This window comes from Homo sapiens, chromosome 5 (assembly GCF_000001405.40).
Source record: "Homo sapiens chromosome 5, GRCh38.p14 Primary Assembly".
Classification (NCBI taxonomy): Eukaryota; Metazoa; Chordata; class Mammalia; order Primates; family Hominidae; genus Homo; species Homo sapiens.
In genome coordinates this window covers 148,437,934-148,460,932 of record NC_000005.10, presented here as the reverse complement: position 1 = coordinate 148,460,932, position 22,999 = coordinate 148,437,934, and the positions used below count along the sequence as shown (strand labels likewise).

Below are 22,999 nucleotides of genomic sequence, written 5' to 3'. Positions count from 1 at the left end.
ACATATGTACAGATAGTCACCAACTTATGATGGTCCAACTTAACAATTTTTCAACTTTATGATGGATTTATCAGGATGTAACTCCATTGAGGAGCATAAAAGCATGCATAATTAATACATTATTGCTATTATTATTTTGAACAATCTGTTATCTACCTGAGCAATTAAGAATAAGAAAAATAAAAGCTATTATTTTACTTCACTTATTCCTTCTCTGATGCTCTTCCTTTTTCTATGTAAAACTGAGAATCTGGCCTATTTATTTTCCTTCCATCTAAATAATGTCTGTGAAGATTTTTTCCTTTTGCAAGGCAGGTATACTGGCAACAAATTCCCTCAATTTCTTTTTGTCCCAGAAAGTTCTTATTTCTCCTTTACTTTTGGAGGATAATTTCACAGGGTTGGAATTCCAGGTTGCCATTTTTTTTTCCTCTCAACACTTTAAACATTTCACTCTACTCTTTTCTTTCTTGCACGGTTTCTGAGAAGTTGGATGTAATTTTTATCTTTGCTCCTCTATAAGTATTTTTCCACTCTGGCTTTTTGTCAGAATTTTTTATCTTTGATTTTCTTTAGTTGGAAAATGAAATGCCTGGTTGTAATTTTGTTGGCATTTATCCTGCTTGGTATTCTCTGAGCTTCCTGGATCTATAGTTTGGCATCTGACATTCATTTGCAGGGAAATTCTCCATGATTATTTATTCTCCATGAAATATTTCTTCTGTTTCTTTCTATTTTCTTTTTCTTGTATACTTGTGGTGCACTTTTTTTTTTAGTTGTCCCATAGTTCTTGGAAACTGTGCTCTGTATTTTTTTTCTGTCTTTTTTTTATTTTCAATTTTGGAGGTTTCTATTGAGATATCCTAAAGCTCACAGATTCTTTTCTCAACCATGTCTAGTCTACTAATAAGTCCATCAAAGGCAGTCTTCATTTTTGCAGCAGTGTTTTTGACCTTTAACATTTCTACTTGGTTCTTTCTCAGAATTTCCATCTCATTGCTTACGTTACTCATCTGTTCTTGCATGTCATCTACTTTTTCCATTAGACCCTTAGCATATTAATCACAGTTGTTTTAAGTTCCCAGTCTGATAATTCCAATGTCCCTTCCATATCTGATTCTGGTTCTGATGCTTAAGCTGGCCTCTCCAACTGTGTGGTTTTTTTTGTTTGTTTGTTTTGGTTTGGTTTTGTTTTTTGCCATTTACTATGCCTTGTAATTTTTTCTTGATAGCTACACATGATGTCTTTGGTAAAGACACTTTAGTAAACAGGCACACTATTTACCCATATGGTGTTAAGGTATGCGGGGAGGGGAATGGTTTGTAGTCCTGTGATTAGTTCTCTGTCTTCTAGAGATCCTGTGCTTCTGGGCTGTGAGTGAACTTCACACGTGCTTCTTAGTTTGTCACCCCCTTTGGTTCTTGGGTGGCTTAAGGGGGCTGGAGTTGGATATTTCCCTTCCCCCAAGGTCAGCTGGGCTAGATAAAATTCTCATAGGTTAGGCTTGCTACATATTTCTCCTGAAGGCAGACCTCATTAAGAACAGAATGCTCTGGAATATTTCAAAATAATTACTTCCCTCCTCCCTGTCAGAAGCATGAGGGGATTCTTCTCAGATATTTACAGTGAAATCTGGTTGAGTTCCTGAAGGTGAAACTCACAAAATTGAGAGGTCCCCTATTATTGCCCTCCCCCCTCGAGTTCTTATCTCTCATATACTTGTCCACTCAGAGTCTCTAACAGTCTATCAATTACAGTCATGCCAACTCCATGCCCATGCCTGGAATGTCCTCACTGCCCCTACAGTCAATGCATCAGCAGATCCTGTCAGCTCTACCTTGAAGCTATATCCTGAATCCAACTACATCTCAATACCTCCACTGATACCAACATACAGGACTTCTAAGCTCCAGAAATGCGAGATAATAAATTTGTGTTACCTGAAGCTACTAAGTTTGTGGTAATTTGTTGCAGTAGCAACAGGAAGCTAATACACCTCCTAATTTACCCCTGGGTTTTCACTCCAACCTCACTCTAGTCCATTCAACACACCACAGCCAGAATGTTCATTAAAAACATAAAATCTTCAGGAACCTCCCCTGCTCATGAACTTGGCTGCCATCCTATTGCTTTTAGGACGAGGACAACAGTCCTTAGTGTGGTGGGTCCCTGCTGACTTTGTGCCCTCATCTTAGGCTGATGCCTACTTTGTTCCCCTCTCACCACATGGGCCTGCCCCCAGGACTGTGGGCCTTTGCTCTTGCTGGTCCTTTTGCCTGCATCCTCCCCACCCTGGCTTGGTGAGCCCCTACTCAATTTTCAGTTCTCATCTCCTGTCGCTTCCTCAGTGACAGAACCCTGACACACTAACCGAGATCTCATCCCCCCTCTGACATGCTCTCATAGCATCACCAAATACCTCTCACTCCTGACACTACTTGTAGCTATAATCTTATAGCTGGCTGTGGTCTCTCACACTACACTGCTAGCTCCATGAGGACAGGGACTGTGTCTCCACTCTGATATGTCCAAGGCATGGCACTGTGCCTGGACTGTTGTAAGCAATCAAAAAAAAAAATTTTAGTAAATAAGTGGCTGGATGAATAAATGTCTAGGATTTGTGTTCATGGAAAAAATACCAACTGTAAAATCTTTGTTTCCAGCTAACAGAGCTCTGGCTTTTGTGAAACTGCCTTAGGGTTGAATCTCTTTAAACCAAGGCACTTTATATTTTAATGATATATTAAATAGATATTAAAATATAATATATTTTAATGATATATTAAATAGATATTAAAATATATTATATTTTAAGATCTATTTAATAGATATTAAAATATAATATATTTTAAGATCTATTAAATAGATCTTAAAATATAATATATTTTAATATATATTAAATATATCTTAATTTAATATTTAATATATCTTAAGATATATTAAATATATCATTAAAATATATTATATTTTAATATATATTTAATATATCTTAAAATATAATATATTTTAATGATATATTAAATATATATTAAAATATAATATATTTTAATATTTTAATGATATATCAAAATATATGATATTTTAATGATATAACAAAATATATATTTTAATGATATATCAAAATATATGATATTTTAATGATATGTCAAAATATATTTTAATGATATACCAAAATATATTTTAATGATATACCAAAATATATTTTAATGATATATCAAAATATATTTTAATGATATATCAAAATATATTTTAATGATATATTAAAATATATTTTAATGATATATTAAATATATATTAATATATAATATATTTTGATGATTAAAACATCTAGCAAACCTCCCTCCTCACCCAGTCTTTGTGAACACTGCCTTGCAGGAGAAGGCTGGGGTGATGTATAATAAAGTCTAATCATTTCCTGATAATACCAGCCTGGGCAGGCAGAGGGGGCTATTATTACGCTACTAATTACCACATCCAGGCTGCTCTAAGTGCGATGCTAATTGCTCAGTGAATGAATTGTAGACTCAGGTAATTACCAAATCTAATGTGGCTCCCGTCATGTTTGAGTAAATTAATGCAAATGGGGGAAGCAACCCAGCTTGAAGGGAGTTGTCGCTTGCATTGCTGTTGCTTGAGAAACAGCAGTGTTTTTTAATTAGATGTGAAACTGCCCAGGTATACCCACTCATCTAGAGTTGTCTTACCACCAAAGCAGCTGTGAGAAGGCAAGTAAGATCTCGCACCAAATGGAACAGGGAGACTTTTGCCACTCTGACAGATGATTGTCTCTTTCCAGAGCTGTTAATTTGTAAAGCCATTTACAGATAATGCCAGGCTAGGCAGGCAGAGGGGGGCTATTATTGTACTACTAGTTCCCAAATCCAAGCTGCTCTAAGTGACCTTAATTGATCACAGGGTTAAGGTTTCCTTAGCTCTGTGATCAATTAACAAGTGAATAAACGTTTGTTCAGTTACTGAGGAAAGGATTTCTGCACTGAATTGGGAATTTTGTACTGAGTTCAAGTTCTACCTCAATCATCAGATAAGAGCAATACTTTTTGGCTGGCACTATTCCAATAAACATTATATGTGCATTATCTCATTTAATGTCTACAACAAGCCAGAACATTTGTGATAATTCACAGAATTAGTAAATGGCAGAGCCAGGATTTGAACCAAGGCATTCTGCCTCAAGAACCTGTATTCTTAATGATTCCGGATTTATTTATTTCTTTGAGCCTAGGAAACTCACATTTTCTGAATCTCGTCTTACTTACCAGTGAAGATTACTGCATCCATTGTGTGCCCAGCCCTTCTGTTAAGGCATTTGTAGATGTTCACTTTCACAACAAAGGTGTCAAGGAGGTGGGAGTAACTTATTTGACCATGCCTCATAACTAGTAGATGGTAATTTGGGATTTGAATGCTATTCGGTTTGCCTGCAGTACCCTGTGCTTTCTTTTCTCTCAATATTTCCCAAATTGAGGATGTTTAGATCCCCATGAATGGGCCTACAGACTGCTGGAGGTTTGCACCCTCCAGTTAGAGACAGTGCATAAAGTTAGCCAGCAACAGCGGTGTGTACATGAACGCAACTGTGAGCTCTGAATTCACAAGGCAATGTAAGTTTATAAGGTGGCCAACCAGATGACCCCAGATCTGCTCCTATTATTTATTTATTACCAAAGTGAAAATACCAACTTAAAAATATATGCTTGAATCATGCAGACTTGGGAATACTCAAACCCAGGGTATGTCTTTATAAGCCAGACTCCAGTTGGGATGTGCTGTCCTCTGCTAGACTCCTGCCAAGGAAAGCTTGGACTAGTTCCTCCTTCCTGTGTCTATCAGTCACCATACCATGGTGAGAGGAACCACTCAAATGTTGTACAGTTGAGCCTTGAACAACGTGGGTTTGAACCGTCTGGGTCCACTTACGCATGGATTTTCTTCAGCCTCTGCCACCCCTGAGACAGGAAGACCAACCCCCCTCTTCATCCTCCTCCTCCTCAGCCTCCTCAGTGTGAAGATGCTGAGGATGACGACTTTTATGATGGTCCACTTCCACATTACAAATAGTAAATATATGCTCTCTTATTTATGATTTTCTTAATAACATTTTCTGTAGCTTACTTTATTATAAGTACAAAATATGCATTAACTGACTATGTTATCAGTAAGGCTTTCAGTCAACAGTAAACTACCAGTATTTAAGTTTTGGGGGAATCAAAACTTATATGCAGATTTTTCAACTGCACAGGGGATCAGCAACCCTAACTCCTACACTGTTCAACGATCAACTGTAACTGGAAAACGTGCCCATCTGCTTACTCTCATATCCACAGAGAGCTGTTGCCTTTCAACTGCCCTCTGGAGAAAGGGAAACTCCATTTGGAATATCCACTCCATTCCCACACTTCTTTTCTAGTTATTCCTGACAAGTGACTCATTAGCACATGAGAAACAGATGCTTATGAGGAGAGACGTGTGAAAAGCAGGCTGCTGTAGAGGTTGCCTGCATTCCACGGCAGTACATCTTTTTACGTGGTCACAGATGTCTGGTTGCCTTCTCAACTAGGATACCTTTTTCATGCGAACTCAGTGTAGGAGAAGGTGTCATTGCTTGCCAGTGAAAGTGATCTATTAGCCATAGAACAGGGCAAAGGTTCAGGAGTGTGTTCTGAGGTTAAGGGTACGGGCACCATGCATGTTGTAACCTTAGATAAACTGCGTAACTGCTCTGAGCCTCAGTTTTCTAATCTGTAAGAACAGTCTAAGTAGAGCACCTGCCACTTAGTGAGTATAAAAAGTAAATTGTATACATGAAATAAGGTATGTAACTTCCAAAAATGGTACCTGGCACACATCCTAATGTCTTAATAAATTGAGCTGTGTATGATTTCTTAGTATTGTCATTCAGTTTTCTCCTGCACAAACATCCACTTCAGGGATATCCCTGCACCTCAGATACTAAAGCGTAGCCCCATTTCCTAGGGCTGTTTGGTCCTGAGCCCTTGTTTGAAGACTCATACATAAGTCATTAAGCAATGCTGCTCAGGGGCAAGAGCAATGGGGAAGGGGTTCCTGACCTTGGTCCTGGCCAGGCCTGCGCTCACCCGTCATGACACTCAGGAGACTCACTCAGCTGCTATGAGCCTCACTTCTCGCCTCTGTATAATACCAGTCTTATCACCTGCCTTGCCTGGCCTGCAGAGCAACTGTGATTATAAAAGGAGTCTGTTGATAGGGAAATCAATTGGTGTTGCTTTAGTACGCATATTTGCCAAAAGAGGGCTTTGTGATTCTGATAAGGGAGAAGGGAAAGGCAAAGTCAGGGAGGCTTCTATATCTTGAGGCCAGTTAAGTTTCATCCAAAAAGGAAATAAAAGAGAAAAATATTTCTAAGCCATTAAGGCTATGTGTACATCATCATCATCATTATCATTATCATCATTATCATTACATACTCTTCATTCAATGCAGAGGAGCAAAGTGAGGTATAGAGAGATTAAATAACTTGCCAAATGTCACAAAGTTGGTAAGTGGTACTTTTTAATCTCAATAAAATAGTAAAATTAAGATTAAAAAGTAAAAAAAATAATTTTAGCTTCAACATATTGAGCTTCTACTATGTGGCAGACTCTGTGTTAATGTTTTTCTTACATTATGTTATTTAATCCACAGAGCAAAGCTATGTGGTAGGTATCATTAACCTCAGTTACAGAGGTATAGAAAGTGATGCATAGAGAGATTAAATAAGTTGTCAAATGTCACAAAGCTGGCAAGTGGTAGAGCCTGAATGGGAACTAGGTTTGCTTGACTCAAGTGAGGGTCATGGTTACTATTCTGCATAACGCAGCCCTCTAGCTGACAAGACAAGGCAAAGGGAAATAACCACACATGACAGGGCCTGAGAAAAGTTGTGAAGGCTAAACCTTTTGCAGAATTAAATACATCAGACAATGGCTACTGGGAGTTATATTTCTATATCCAGAGTCTGACCATTCCTCACCACCTTTACAGCTACTTCCTGGACCAAGTCACTGTCTTCTCTCACCTGGATTATTGCTGTAAACTCCTAATTGGTCTCACTGTCCACACCTTACCTCCATCCCATATATTCACAATAGAGCATCCAGAGGGAGTCTGCTGAGAGGCCATTCAGACCATGTTGGTGCTCTGCTCAGACCCCTCACATGTAGTAAAAGCCAGAGCCTTATAGGGATTTTCAAGCCCACCCCCGCCCACTTGGCCCTGGCTGCCTTGCTGACGTCAACTCCTTTCATTCCTCCCCTTACTCTTTCTGCCTCAACCAGCTGCATCCTTGAGGTTCTTCAGATATGCCAGGCAGGATCGAACCTCAGGACCTTTGCATCTGCTGTTCCCTCTACCTAGAATGTTATTTTCCCAGATAGGCACATGCCTCAGTTTCTCACTATATCTCACAGGGCTCAGTCAGGAGACAGAAACGGCCTGAGTATTTAAACACCATTTTAACATAAAATATTGCTAACTAGGCATATAGTCGTTAACACTGAAAGAATGCTCTGCAGTATTATGGAGTTAGCAACTGCAGGGAGCAACTACTAGCTCTAGGGCTGAGAAAATAGATAAAATAATCACAAAAACTTAGACACTTAGAATAGGGACCCTACTGAGCAGAAATTTAGACCTTTGAGAAAGAGGGACTGTCCAGATGAACCTGATGTTTCTGAGGGGCTGCTGTAAGGCTGGTTCTGCAAGAGTTAGAAAGACTAACCTGGACTCAGCTGCTGCTCCGGAAAAGCACTGCCTCTGAGGGGTAAAGAAGCATTCCAGGAATGACGTATATAGGAACCACAGCAGACAGAAAGCTCACAGGAGCGAGCCCCTTTCCTTCCTCCAGCTTCCACTCCCCTGTGACACCCTGTGTTCATGGAGCTGCACAAGAAGCCAGCCAACAAAGCAGACATTTGGTTTGCAGAATGGCAAAGCCAAGTACGCAAGGCATGGTTTGGAGGCTGAGCATCTACGACTCACTAGCTGGGACTCTAGCTTCCCTAAGGTCTTGCATATCTCACTGGGACATTTCCTGGCCACCCTAGTTAATAGTGGCTGATCTGGCCCTTTCTATCTCTTTTCCCATTTTATTCTTCTTAACACTGACCTATCTGGCAAGTAGTAGCAGATGCTTTGGTTCTGTATGTCACATCCCCTTGGCTTAGCTCTCTCTCAACAACAGCTGCGGTGGACGGTTCTGTGAGAACTCGGACTCATGCCCTTCACTGAGGCCCTGTTCTTCAATCAACACCTGCTTCTAGCCAGCTAAAGGGACTAGTTATTCTAGATTAGGGTTTCTCAATCCTGGCACTGTTGACATTTTGGGCCAGATAATTCTTTGTTGTGGGAGGCTGTGCTATGTATCGTACAACACTGATCAGCATCCCCGGTCCCTACCCGCTAGGTGCCAGTAGAGCTACCTCTTCAGTGACAACCAAAAATGCTTCCAAAATGGCCCCTGGGGCACAAAATGCTCTCTGCTGAGAACCACTTTTCTAGACTTATACCTAGTCCATGGGCTTTGTGAGAACCAGTTAAACACATGGGTATTGGCATGAGCTAGAGTGGGTTTGATTGGATGTGTCTTCATGTATGACCTATATTCCCATGGGCATCACTAAACTTGACTATGCGTTATTTTGCTCACATGTAAAATGAAAATGATACTATCTAATAGGCAATTATGGGGATTAAATAAAGTAATTTATGGAGAGGGCTTAGTACAAACCAATTTGTCAATACAAATCAACAATAAATTATTGTAATTCAAAGCAAAGCATCAATGTAAGTCATGAGAAACTACCACCAAGTTGTTTTGTCAACATATGATGCCAAATAGCTGAATGGTATTTGTTTGTTTGTCTCACTGAAAGTGCTTGACACTGGCCTCAGAGAAATGAGTGGTGAACATGCTTCTAAAATCTGTAGAAATTTCATAGGAATGGCTGCCAGATGCTGGAATCTGGGTAACTGATGATGAGACTCGCCTGCAATTGAGATGCATTTAAAGGCAATTAAGATATTGAGTGCAATTGTATGATACGGCAGAAAAATAATAAACACTTGTCAAGTAGTAAATTTCACTGTGATGCTTAGTGTCAACTTGCTGTTTGATTCATCTAATTGATTTACTGTTCCAAATGGCACCAAAAGGAATGAAAGTAACAAATACAGTTACATTGTATTTCAGGCTCTGAGTGGTTTATTCATCTCAATCAGCAGTCAGAACCCAAAACTATCCCTGGTAGATAGGACATAGCATATTCAGGTACAGCTTGAGGTGGTACATAGGGTTCATTCTGATGAGTGACACAAGAACCCCAGGCTTTGTTGGCAGTAAGAAATCTGGGTTCTTGTCCCAGCTCTGCCACTTACCCCCTATGCACTCCTAGGCCTGTCGTTTCCTCCAGGACTGTTTCTCCACATTTAATATGAGTAATCTGGGTGCAGTTCATTTGGTTTTCTATCTCTATGAAGTATCACCCCATCCCCACTCCCACTTCACCATACCCTCAGAAGTATGCAAAGAAAGGAAGTCAAGAGTAGAAGGAGTGCTCTTGACTTCGGTGCAGTTGGAGCATGCCTGTTGAATTCTCATGCCTTCTTTCCTTCCTTTCTAGGTACACCGTTCTGCACAGGGGACATCATCAGGAACTCGAGAAACTGCCCATACACAATGACCCAGAATCCCTGGAATCATGCTTCTGATTGAGGACATGGCTCACAACTTAGCCATTCATTCGCATTCATGTTTGCATGAACAGGTCACCCTGGCATCACTTCTGAACCTCATCACCACCAGTGAGGCATCAGGTAGTAGGGGCTGAGAGCCCAGAGGAGGTACATGGAGGACAGTGTTGGGGGGTAGCTGAGGCCAGAGCCTTGAGGGTCTCAGAGTTGTGAAGAAACTTCAGGCATTGTCAGATTCAGCCTCCCACGCAAAGCAGGAGTAGCATCTTCTATTGCATCCCTGAAAGTTGGTCATTCTCTGCTTATACACCTCCAGGGACAGGAGCTCACTACCTCCTAATTCAGGCCCTTTTATTTTGGAGAAGCTCTCATTATAAGGAATTTCTTTCCTTTCTTGGAACACAAACCTGTTGCTGCTCCAACTTCCATGCAGTTAGGCCCCACTTTCCCGTGACAGCCCTTAAATACTGGAAGAGAGTAATCTGTCACCATGCCTTTCAGTTTTTTTTATAAACTGAAACATCTCAAGTTTCCTCTCCATTGTGGCCATCTTCTTCTGGACATGCTTTGGTGGGTGAATTAATCATGGTTCTTCTAATAAAGTTAGGTTGATATCAATGCCAATATGTCTATCTAGAAGCATTGACATAGTGACAAGTGAAGTGTCAAGATTTTTGGCTTATAGCCATGAATATTTTCCTCCTTTTCCTACTTGGGAATAGGTTTTGGAGATTCTGCCTAGGTTTTGGCTTCAGAGCCATTACTAAAAGGCATCTTTGCAGCTTGTCTGATGTGTGTGCGTGCATGCACATATGTGTGTTTAAAGTTGGCATTTTCTTATTGGCATATTTATGTTGAGGTCATTAGGAATTCATTTCATTTCTATGGCAATGGGAAAAGGATCTTACTTCTTTCCTGAGAATGTTGATTGAGAATGACCTTACAACCCAGAGTCTGGGAGGGAAACTGACTTTTCTTCACATTTATCAGCATCTTATCCTCTCGAAATACCTATGGAGATGCTTCTTTTTCTCAGTCAAAGCAATCACCATCTTCCTTCATCTTGGGGTAAATTATATACTCAGCTTGAGGGTCTGAGGGCAAATTTTTAAAACTGCCTTTCTTTCGGCTGCTGAGCTGATTTTTTAAAACCCTATTGAAAGGATTTATTACTGGTCCTCCCTTAGTGAGACAAAGGGAACAGGGCATGTGGGCGATGTTGAGGTTGATATGTAACACACTTCTGATTGAGGACGTGCCAGGAGTTTAACAGCAAGATAAAGATGTGCCAGGAGTTTAAACCTCACAAGTTTTCTTTGCCCTTCTACTTGGTCTATTGATCCTTCTTCTTCCTAACTGATATCAGATGCCACAATTGCCTCCTTAACCCTTATTTCTTCCATGAAGGTAGAACCCATTAGCCAGCCCTCTCTTTTCTTTCTGTGCCCAGGTATGGTGAGAAGGGATAGTCAGACACCACAGAGGAGACTAGGGTGATCATCCTTCTGGTTTTAACATTCAAGTCCCTTATCCCAGGAAATTCCATGGTCCCGGGCAAACTAAGGAACGTTGGTCACCACACTGATGGGACCTCTCTGTGTTGAGGATTAATACCCATCCCTCCTCAGAGTGGATTCTCTTTCTTCTCTTTTTCATGGAAAAAGCAAAGATTAGTGAATTTGGAAGTCCACAGTTCTCCTTTCTGAAAATGGCTCTCTTCCCCTCCAACAACAAAGCATTTCTTAGGGAAGGACTAAAACAGGGATAATAAGAACCAGATAATAGTGCTTTGAGGTAGCTGGTAAACTTTTGTTTAATGCCACCATTGTTGGCAGGATCTACTACTTAATACATACATGCATACACATATACATAACTACAGTAGGATTTCTCCCTTATGAAATATTTCTTTCCCAGGAGCTTAGTAAGCATATCTGCTTATGTAAAATATTATTTCTCAGTGGCAGGTCTTCCATATTAAATGGGAACTTGGATTCAATAGAGACACAAAGATTACAACATAGGGAGGAAAATGAGATCTCACTACATCACAGGACTCTTCTTAACTCTCTAGATGTGCTTGTGAGCCAGCCCATGATTGGTGTCTGTAGAGGTCACAGGCACCCTGGACCAGGGAAAGACAGCAATTGCAAGAATAGTACTCCTTGTCATTGTCAAGAAACTGGTCTCCTTTGCAGAGGAGAGCCTTACAAGCTTGCTTTGCTACCACTTTGGACTAGGGCTGGGATGCTGTGAGTGATTCCTCAAATGCCAACATTGGTGATTTACAGGACAGGGTCAGACTTGTTCTGTGTGAGCAGCTACTAGCCTTGTCTAGGAATCCAGGTAATTTAGCATGTGTATGAAAGACTCAGAAAGAGAAGACTTATAGCTTATCCAAGGAAGGAGGAGACGTATACCTTGCCCTCTTCTCTAAGAAGGCCACCCTCTTCCAGGAAGCCTGCCGTGTCAAGAAGAGAAGCATCTGAGGAAGAGGATGATGTGCTGCAGACATATCTAACAGATTGGCCTTGACAATCACTGGAGTTGATAAATGCTACAAGCAGACTATCCCCATGTCTGGGACAAAGGAAGTTCACTGTGCCTCCTCTCCACTTGACTCTCCAGGCTGCAAGACTCTTCAGCTCTGAAACCAGAGAGGGATGCACCATTCTAGCCTTCACCATTAACTGCTAGAAAGCAAAAGAAATAAAAACCAACTTCTTAAACTGATACCCAAGTATATGCTTGTAAAAAAACCTTTTCCTTCTGAGGCCCCACCCTCTTGTCTTGCCAACATTTCCACTTCGTGCTGCTAACTTGCTCTGTCCTGATGCAAATTGCTGTCTAGCTGGAGAGTGGTGGGGGGGCGGGGGTGGGCATGGGGTGGATGAGGGAGGGGACCTAGGGAGGGGCTGGGGAGTGGATATAACTACACTGCCTTTAATATTGTCTTCAAGCAAGAACAAAAATAATGTCTTCTTGGTGCTGTGCTGTCTACCCACTTATCTCTTTGGTATTGGATCTCTCTGGTGAGAAAACGTTGTCACTCCTCTCTTTTTGTCTCTTCACTTTGCTGTGGTCAAAATCTTGTAACATCTAGTCTAGGAAGGAAAAAAAGACTAATGCATTTACCTCTTCTGGCCAAAATTTGTAATCTCTTTTCCATCTAATTTAGAAAACTGAGGCTGAATATTTGGTTTGAAGTCAAACAATTCAGGAATGGATTTGAAGTCCTAAGTATGAACAACGCATTGCTTTGGGCCTTACCCAACACTTAACTTCACCTGTCTCATCTACAAAATAGAGATAATTTCTGAGTTTGTACGATTGTTGTAAGTGCTCCAACATGGGTCATCTGAGGGCCACTGTTAGGATTTTTATCAAATGTGTTCTGCCTGTTCTGTTACCTATTTAATATCCTTATTTAAGTCCATTCAAGTTTTCACTTACCTAAATTTATTTTTGAAGGGAACATTATATCAGTACTCAAAATAGAAAAAAAGGCTAATGAGTTTTAACTAGATGCCAGTGATCAAAGTGCAACCTCTGTTTCTGTGTTTAAAAGGGAGACAAGTGAATGTTGGAGAGTTGTTAGAAATGCCCTACCTCTTGCTTGGGGCTCTTTCAGTTAATTGGGAGGGTCAAAAGAGAATTTACAAAAGAGAAGCTTCCAAGCTTTAGGAGTTATTGTGATTTAGCTACAAGCTGCATTCTACACTTTTGGAAACATGGAGAGAAGGGATAAGAAACTGCATACATTTTTAACTACTGTTACAGTGGATTCAGATTAGGTTTCTCCTTCTTTACCTTTTCTTTCAGTTTGCCCCAGATCTATATCTTTGTTAATAAAAATAATAATAAAATAGCAATAAGAGAAACTGACATTTAATGAGTTTTTTTTTTCTGCTAGGCATTGTGGTCAGTGCTTTATATGAACTATTTCATTTAATCCTTATGAAATCCTTACAAGATTAGAATGAAAATTACCCCCACTTTACAGCTGAGCAAACCTCAGCTAAGACATCTGGCGACTAGCTCAAGGTAGCAGACCTGGGAAGTGTGGATTTGAAATGCAAACCCAGGCAGTCTTATTCTAAATGAGGCCCACAGTCCTAAGCATGTGCAACTGTGGTCATTATGGGGATGTATGTATTCCACCTTCACCTGTTAGACACTGCTAGGAGAGAGCAATGAACAATGTTGCTTAAGAATTTTCCTTTCCACATCAGCCTGGGACCCGAAGAGGAACTCTGGAATGCCTATTCCAGTTTGAACTCTGCCACTCATTTGCTTTCTTGTTTTCCTTTGCTCTTGCTTCCTCTCCCTGAGCCTCAACTTCCATCTTTAAACCATGGAAGACTCTGGTAAATTATTGATCAACAGGAAAGGCCCTCTGCACTGATCTTTTATAGTCTGTCTAGTATTCAGCAACCTGGGATTACTGAATAACCAGCAATAGACTGTGAGAACAAGATGTGAGTCAAAGAAAGCATTGGTCCTTTATATTCCAGGCCATCAGAGAGGCTGCTCATAGTAGGAGTGGCCCCTGAAAAAGGCAGTTTGCCTTCCCCATATTTCTTGGTCGGAACCTGGAACACTATTTGGATATGCTCCCATTGGTCTCATTAAGCATCAGCCTACCATTGCAAGCTTTGTGCAGTTTCTCTGCACTTTTATAAGATCTCTAAGTCTCTCATAACAGTATATAAAGAGGGATTGTTGACTTCATTTTACAGAAGAGGAAAGACTTTGTCAGGGAAAGTGATTTGTCCAAGAACAAGAGCTGATATGAGGCTGAAGTCAGAGGACTGAAAACATTCAGATTTCTCAATTCTAACAAAGTGCTTCCTTCTTAAGTTTATTTTATTTCTAAATATATAAATTATACATTTTTAGACTATATAAATAATAGGTTACATAAATGATGTATTTATGCAATCCATTTCCACTGTAAAAATTTGTTATATATATTAATACATACAAGAAAATACCCCTTGACTCCAACTCAATGCTACCCCCCTCCCCAGAAGTAAATGCTTTTTTCACTTGGCTTATGTAATTCAAATGTAATTTTCTATGCATTTACATATGTATAAATGTACATGTATAACATATGGCTTTTTTTCTTATATGTAAATAAAATGATGTTGGTATATAATAATCTGCTACTTGCGTTTTCAACAGTGTACTCTAAACATCATTTCACATTAACACATATAGTTTTTTTTAGCTGCTGCGTATCCATTTCTTGCTATAGACATTGTATGGATTGCAGTGTTCTTTTGCATTCTACCTGCCTCCCATGTGTAAATGGGACATCTCCCGCATCAGAAAATCAGCCTCTGTTTTTCTGGGACTGTGCTAAACATAGCTGGAGTGGTTTCAATTTAAGTGGCAGCAGTAAGTTGACTTGGCAGGTTCCCTATTAGGGCAGGCCCACCCTTATATGGGCCTCCTCTCATTATGAAGGACCAAGAAACTGCCCAAGTTGCACAGGCTTTGGACTCATCCTGCAGGATGTCATCCTTTGACAGCATCCTGCTCCCATCAATTCCTAGATGTGTGCTTTTGAGCAAGTTATGTAACCTTCTAAAACCGAGTTTTCTCACCAGTAAAGTAGGAACATATTGATCATACATTTAAAGTGTTATTGCAGGAGGTATGGAAAGCACTTAGTAATGATCACTTTTAAAAATGCTAGCTTTCATACTGTCATGATTTCCTCTTTCTCAACAGCCTCACCAGTTCTGTTTCCTACTATCCTGGAATATGGTATGAGGAACAGGTTATGGAAAGATGAGTCCAAAAAAACCCCACACAGCACCCGCCCCCCGCCCCCCCCGCCACAAAAAACAAACAAAACCAAACTTGGCTGGGCGCGGTGGCTCACGCTTGTAATCCCATCACTTTGGGAAGCCGAGCGGGTGGATCACCTGAGGTCAGGAGTCTAAGACCAGACTGGTCAACATGGCAAAACCCCGTCTCTACTAACAATACAAAAATTAGCCTGGCATGGTGGCGGGTGCCTATAATCCCAACTACTTGAGAGGCTGAGGCAGGAGAATCGCTTGAACCAGGAGGCAGAGGTTGCAGTAAGCTGAGATCGTGCCACTGCACTCCAGCCTGGGCAACACCCAAACTTCTTTTGATAATAAAAGAAATTATACTGGAAGCAATACTACCTCCACTGGCATCACACTGTCCAGTTTACTGGCGGCTCCTATTGGAAACTAACCACTGCCCTATGGGGTGGGTGGTTATATTATTAGTTGTTACCATTTGACAGAAAAGAAAACTGAGGCTGAAGGGTAGGGGTTCCAACCATCTCCAGCTCTCCCATCAGTTGTTTGAGGAAGTCAAAAACTGAACTCAGGTCTTCAGATTCTACATATGAAGTCCCTGTAAGAATTGTGGTACTAGCTATTATTTAGGGAGACTGTTAGACCTACACACCTGGCAATGAGACACAATTCTCTCACTGATATTAAGTTATATATCATCCATGCAGTATTTTTAAGGCCTTTAAAAAATGTGCCAGGCACTGCACTGCACCAACAGCTGGTGATATAATTAAATGAATGAATAGGATATCTCAGTTCTCTATGGCAGGTGTGGCCAAACCGTGGCCTGGAGGCCAAATCTGGTCTATGAGCCTTCAGGATGGTGTTTTACTTTAGTAAATGGCTGTGGAAAAAGTTTTATTTTGTGACGTGAAAATTACATGAAATTGAAATTTGTGTCCATAAAGTTTTATTGCAACACAGCCATGCCCATTCGTTTATATCGTCTATGACTTTCACAATAGTTGTGCAGTTGCCACAGAGAATGTGGCCCATTGAGCCTAAAATATTTACCATTTGGACCTATATAGTTTGCTGACCCTTGCTGTAGAGCAATCACTCTCCAGCCCTTCGTATTATATATATATTCAGAGTGACTATCGTAGTTGGCATCTTCCAGATTTTTTTTCAGCTATTCCAGTCTTAGCAACTTTTGAATGATTTTAGCGCTGCCAGCTGTACTTCCACTGATCTAACAGTTTAGGTTAGGTTAGACAAAGACATGACTAAGCCAAAAATTACAAAGCAGCGGCCTCTTGTGGCTAATGTAAGCATTACTTAGATAATTTGGTTAACAGGTTACAGTGAAAACCTAGAGTTAGATTGTCTTCGCTCAGGGTTGGGAATCCCAGATTACTTTGAAATATCTAGGATATTCTGTATTTCCTGCCTCTTACCACACTTGTAATCTGTATAGTGAAACACACTTGTCTAATTATAAGTTAGCTGAGTTAAAAATAATGTAATAAGGAGACAATAGAATGAAGTACCCAATTGAATCACTCTTCCTAATGTAATGAGAATTTTTAGAGCCTGGGAAAAAAAGAGAACGTTAAGGAAAGACACTGATTAACGCGGAATATTTTGTGTTAGAAAAACTTGCTGGCATCCTTGTATTTCTGTCACGAAAAACAGAGGCAGCCTAGTGGGAATCAGAAATTGGGATTATTGTCCTACCTAGCCTAAAAACAGGTCCTAATTATGAGTGAGCAATTTTCCCCCTTGGGCTTCAATTAAGCCCTTGTAAATGAAGGGGCTGAACAAATCTCAAAGAAACTTTACACCTTTGACCATAATTTCATGTCTAGAGAAAATTTATAAAAATGTTCCACAGGCCTTCAGTTTAAGTAATTTGCTGAGGTCACTTGGCTGGCAAGTGACAAAGCCATGACTCTGCAGGTGTTAAAGCTTTTGCTGACGACCCTTGACACTGTAATACTATGTATATCACTGCCTTATCAGGGCAATTAATTCCTCACCTTGAAAGGGGAGAAAGGCCATCTCCTGATGACAAGAAGTTTGGAAAATTCTGCTGTTCCCAGTATTGCCTTAAAGAGCTCTGCCTGTAATCCTAGTACTTTGGGAGGCTGAGGCAGGCAGATCACCTGAGATCAGGAGTTCCAGACCAGCCTGGCCAACATGGTGAAACCCTGCCTTTACTAAAAAATACCAAAAATTAGCTAGGCATAGTGGCGGGTGCCTATAATCCCAGCTACTCCGGAGGCTGAGACAGGAGCATCACTCGAACCTGGGAGGCAGAGGTTGCAGTGAGCCGAGATCATGCCATTGCACTCCAGCCTGGGCAACAAGAGTGAAACTCCATCTCAAAAAAAAAACCAAACCAAAAAAAACAAACAAAAAAAGTTATGTGAGTTGAACATCTTGTAGCTAAAAACTTTCAGAGATCAGAAATTGGATTACACTGGAATCTTACCTTAGATACAACTCTATATATACACTGCTTTTCTGTGCAGTATTTGCTACTCTTCTTTAAAAAGAGGGATTCAGGTCCAAGGCAAGAGAAAAGTTTTTAATAAACTTTTATTTTATATTCAAGATAAAGCATATACACAATTCAATGTGGAAATAAATTACTAGAAATACTCTGGAAACTTTTCCATTTCCCTCTCAAACTCACTTTTTTTTAAGCTCATAAGTCTTTTTACTTGATTTTAAGAAACATGGCAACTATAATACTAAGAAAGAACTACAGCTTTGTACAGAAACATAGAGCCTTGTCTTGACTATAAGGTTTAGTTGGTGTTTTAATAACAACAAAAAAGCACAAAAGACACAAACACTCTTCAACAGGTTTACTCAAACAGCTTCGCTCAAGAAGAAAAAGGCACAGATTTAAAGGGATGACAATAATCATTAAGAATGAAGTAAATGGAGACTCAGTCAAAAAATGATACTTCATGAATTAAGTCAAGAAAAACAAAAGTCTTTCAAATTATCTGTCTTCCTTAAAATGAATTTTTAAATTAAATTGTATAAACATATGATATAAAGTTGGTACTTTAGGAAGCGTCTTTGTATATTTTTTATGTACAAATCTTTGTATACAATTTCGATGTTCCTTATATATTCCCTATATAGCAAACCGAGCCAGGACCTCCCAACTGCATGCCTCAAGTCCCTGTGGAGCACTCTGGCAGCTGGATGGCCCTACTTGCTTTCTGACAAAATAGCTGGAAAGGAGGAGGGACCAATTAAATGTAGTCATCTTCAACTGGCTCTCCATTGACATCACAATAGTGGATAAAAATTGCCACTACTCGCTGAAATACACCCTTCTTCATCTGACGCATCTCTGAAATTTCCTCTCCTATTGTTTCCATACAGATGTCTGCAGACAGCTGTCCTTTCCTTCTAGGAGCATAGATAGTGCCTTTGAAATTAGAAATAAAAGGAGAGATACATATGATAATCAGAATCATTTGGAAAATCACTGATAAGCTGGTCCATAGGACAGTCCCATATACTGCACTATAATGTAACTGATGCATGAATAGGTCAAGGAATGGGTCACCACCAGTTTGTTCTTATGTTTGATGCCTAAGACAGAATACATGCTTAAAGTCTCAAGGTAAAAATACTGCACCAAAGGCAAGTCAGACACATGCACATGTAGTTCATAAAATCCATTTCCTTATAAAGTATTTTTAAAAAACCTTTGGTTAACAATAAATATTCAAGTATGCTACCACTTAGAGAAACTACATTCAAAAATTTCTCCCCTAATTTCTACACCTAAATTATAAGTTTCCACACAATAAGCAGCTCATAACTAGCAGGAGAATAATACAATTGGAACAATTTTGAAACAATATAGTTGAAGTTATTTAATAAATAAGATTATAAATATTTAGGTAATATAAAAATCTTGTAGGAAAATCTGTCTAAAGGAATCCTTTCTACCAGCCTTTATATATCCCTAGTAAGTCCACTGAACATCTACTGCACAAATAAAGAACTGTTTTGAAGTGAGTAAATACAAATTATTTCTATGGGAAACCATTTAACACTGCACTGCTCCTAACTCACAAAAAGATATTAAGTATGTAACACAGTAGGCTATACTTAAACTAGAGAATAGATGTCAAGTCAGGTCATAATTACTTTCTTCATCGTCTTCAAAGTCGTATCGAGCGAAGCTGTTGGGCTCTGCAGCTCGTAATGACCTCAGCCAAGGGAAGTCAGAAATCATGGAATATGGAGCTCCATCCACAACACCTAAAAGACAAATGTAACATTGCTAACTGGCGTGGGAGTGCTGACAGAGCCAAATTCTGCAGTATTTTGTAAGCAGAATGTAAAATATAAAATAAAGAGAGTGAGTCAGGTGTCCTCAAATCATTTCCAGCTATCAAACTAATTTGTAATTTCTGTTTACGTTTTATGTTTCATCACTGGTTCTGATTGTCCTAGAAATAGTAAAGACTCATACAGGCAAAGCAATCTTCATCTGGCTCCCACTTCTTGCAGGTATTAAAATCATCCATATTTTGAAGAACTGTAGGACCCCCATTCATATCTTCCCTAAGGCATGTTCGGTCATCTAGTTAATAGCTATTCAACTTTCTTTTTTTAAAAAGTGTAATTCTCTACATTTGGGTTACTGCTTGCTGTAAGCCCAAACCAGTTTGACTAATTGATTGATGGATCATTCATTCATCCGTGAATGAGAAAGGGCCAGGTTTTGTTTCCCAGGCCGGTCTTGAACTCTTGGGCTCAAGTGATCCTCCCACCTCAGCCTCCTGAGTCGCTGGGATTACAGAGGTAAGTACTGCACAGGCTATTTAACTTTCTAAACATTTGTAAATACTCACCTTCTAAAGTATAGATTTCTCTCCCCCAGGGGTACTTGGGGTATTTCTTTAAGTCTTCTTCACTTCGAGTGGCTTCAGGGAAGAATTCATATTTAATGAGCTCTCTGGAAGCAACAGGAAAAATTAAGTAAAAATTACAAAACTGGAAATAATTAGTGTCGGGTAGGAAGGAACCATCAAAACTGTTTCGGACACAGATTCTACCGAACATCTCAAACAAAACATCAAATACCTAACGGAAGTAGGATACACTCAAACTAGAGAATCCAAGTGTAGTCAGGTCAAAACTACTTTCTTCACTATCTTCAAAATCATATCAGGGAAAGAAAGTCACTTTCTAAGCATATGTCTTCTACACAAAAGGTGCTTAATGCAACATTTATATAACAAATTTATAAAAGTCAAATTTTCTGATGATATAGAATATCATAGTCTTAAGATCTTCTTCAAGTTGATCTCTTTTTCATGCCCCAAGGCTAAATAATGTTACAAGTACATGTGCAATCTGTTCTTGTAATTTTTACCTGAGTTTTAAAGATCATAAATATATACACATGCTTTTTAGTTTTAAGTCCTCATTTCCCTCAGTTTCTTACTTACGTTAACTTCAGGATAAGCTTGTTTGAAAAGCTTAGATGGAATCATTTAAAATAAAGAAAAATTGGGATTTGCTTCTGGGAGTCCCTGCTATGAGAAATGACTCAAAAGGCCTTTAAGGGCCACAAAGTTACTTACTGATTGATGTTTGCTATAGTGTCCATCCAGCTGCGAATGCGCACCTTATTCCGGACATTGGGAGGGTTACTGAATTCATGGATAATACAGATGTGATAGGGGTAGGGACCACTAAATAGCTTCTGCTCCAAAGTTAGAGTGTCCACCTGTGGAAGACATCATAAAGAGATGTCTTCAACAAAGAGAATGCCTTAGAAATCTCTCTCCGAGAGCTTGAACAATCTTTCCATGGACCTTCAGTTTTGAAATCTCTGGCTGATTTGAAAATCAAATAGTCACATTCAGACCTGAAAACAGTCTGTCATGCTGGGAATAATTTTGCAAATTCTTCTGTCTAGGGAACTTGGCAATTTATATCTCACTGTTATATTTAAATGCCTACTAAACCAGAGAATCCTGATTGAGATAAATGACGTCAGTCAACTCAGAATCCACTTCTGTGTATGTCCTTTATTAAGTACTGACTGCATTATAGAACTGTGAATGTGTAGTAACATATACCCTATTCAAATGAGACTGCTGCCCAGTCTTTAAGAGAGAATGCATTTTCTTGTCTTCTAGGAGCCTTTGATAACATTGCTTTTTTCTCATGGCATACCCTCCCCCATCTCTAGTTATGAAATCTCACTCGGCCATCTGCGTGGCATAAGTGTTTGTCTCCTTTTTGGGAAGGCAAACTCCTTGAGGGAAGGATCATGTGTTGTGTTTTTATTTGCACCCAGCATATTTTAAGTTTTGAGACACTTGACAATATGATGAACTGACTCTTTTGAGGCCAGGCTTACACACTGATTACAAAGAGGCATTTAAAATTTCCTTTAAACCCTCTTTTGGCATTAAGCACAGAACCTTATATACAATATACTCTTAATAATGATAATGACACTAACAGTAGTTATATGATGGCTTACTATATACTAGCACATGTTTTAGAGTTTCACATATATTAAATATCACAATAATCCTGGGTATATCATTATTATTCTAATTTTACAGATGAAGAAACTAAGACATCGAAGTCAAATAATCTGCTACAGGTCAGACAGCCAGAAATTTAATCAGGCAGTCTGAACCAGAGACTGTGCTCTTAAACCACAGGTAACTTTTAATAAGTATAAAAACCTGTTGAATAACAACTCCCTATATCATACATAACCTGTAAAAACTAAAATATCATTACTGTAGGTTGGGCAAGTGAATGAATGCCAAATCCAAAAGGCTAAAGACTAACAAGAAAAAGAAAAAGAAAAACACCACAATATGTGTATCATCGGAAAGAAGCAAAGCTCGTTACCTGCTGCATTGGGCGTAGGTATATGATGCGGTTTCTCTCGGGTGGCATTCTTAGTATCTGGTCTAGTACCTGATCCATGTTCAGTTTCTTGCACTGTGCATAGTCAAATCGGTTTACAATTGGTGCATTTTCTACCTTTAAATGTTTTAGTACCCTGCACCTGGTAGCTACAAAATGAAAACAATGGTAAGCTCCGTACATATCATCTTTGGAGAGATGGCCTAATTTTTGTTGGCACAAAATACTGCAGTAACAAACATCTTTAACAGAGGTCAAATAATATCATAGAGTACAAATCACAGTTAACAAAAAAATTTGAAAATGTGGTTCTGTTCAATTCAAAAGAAGGTAGAAGGGGCATTAAAGTGCCTTTTTCTAAGATTTTACTGTTAAGAAAACCAAGTCTCAGAAAATGACTTGCCCAGACAGAAACTGTTTAGGAAATATTTATTTAAAAAATGAGTAACTATTATACATTTTTATAGTCAATAGTCAGACCTGAAATAATTCACCTATGTTACCTTACATTCACTCTCAGGAATGAGCAGAGTTGGATTTTAATTCC

The 22,999-nt window shown here is 39.4% G+C and overlaps 2 protein-coding genes and 1 long non-coding RNA gene across 14 annotated transcripts in view; 1 reads left to right on the top strand and 2 right to left on the bottom strand.

Annotated features, from left to right (window-relative positions):
- LOC107986462 (uncharacterized) overlaps window positions 1-8,103 on the bottom strand; it is a 107,158-nt gene extending 99,055 nt beyond the window's left edge. The window contains exon 1 of the long non-coding RNA XR_001742935.2: window positions 7,761-8,103. This is a non-coding gene — a long non-coding RNA (uncharacterized LOC107986462). The remainder of the gene's footprint in view (window positions 1-7,760) is intronic.
- The window catches only part of HTR4 (5-hydroxytryptamine receptor 4), a 203,496-nt gene extending 193,595 nt beyond the window's left edge, over window positions 1-9,901 (top strand). For both annotated transcript variants that reach the window (NM_001040169.2, NM_199453.3), the window contains one exon: window positions 9,661-9,901. In NM_001040169.2, the coding sequence (NP_001035259.1) occupies window positions 9,661-9,748 (88 nt within the window). In that variant the 3' untranslated portion in view covers window positions 9,749-9,901. The remainder of the gene's footprint in view (window positions 1-9,660) is intronic.
- The window catches only part of FBXO38 (F-box protein 38), a 58,879-nt gene continuing 53,976 nt past the window's right edge, over window positions 18,097-22,999 (bottom strand). For 9 of the 11 annotated variants that reach the window (XM_024446223.2, XM_047417784.1, XM_047417786.1 and 6 more), the window contains 5 exons: window positions 22,435-22,601; window positions 21,141-21,286; window positions 20,406-20,509; window positions 19,696-19,809; window positions 18,097-18,964 (listed from right to left, as the gene is read on the bottom strand). In XM_024446223.2, coding sequence (XP_024301991.1) covers window positions 18,786-18,964; window positions 19,696-19,809; window positions 20,406-20,509; window positions 21,141-21,286; window positions 22,435-22,601 — 710 coding nt within the window. In that variant the 3' untranslated portion in view covers window positions 18,097-18,785. Of the gene's footprint in view, window positions 18,965-19,695; window positions 19,810-20,405; window positions 20,510-21,140; window positions 21,287-22,434; window positions 22,602-22,999 lie in introns of those variants that run through there. The other 2 variants (XM_047417785.1, XM_047417789.1) reach the window with 1 other exon arrangement.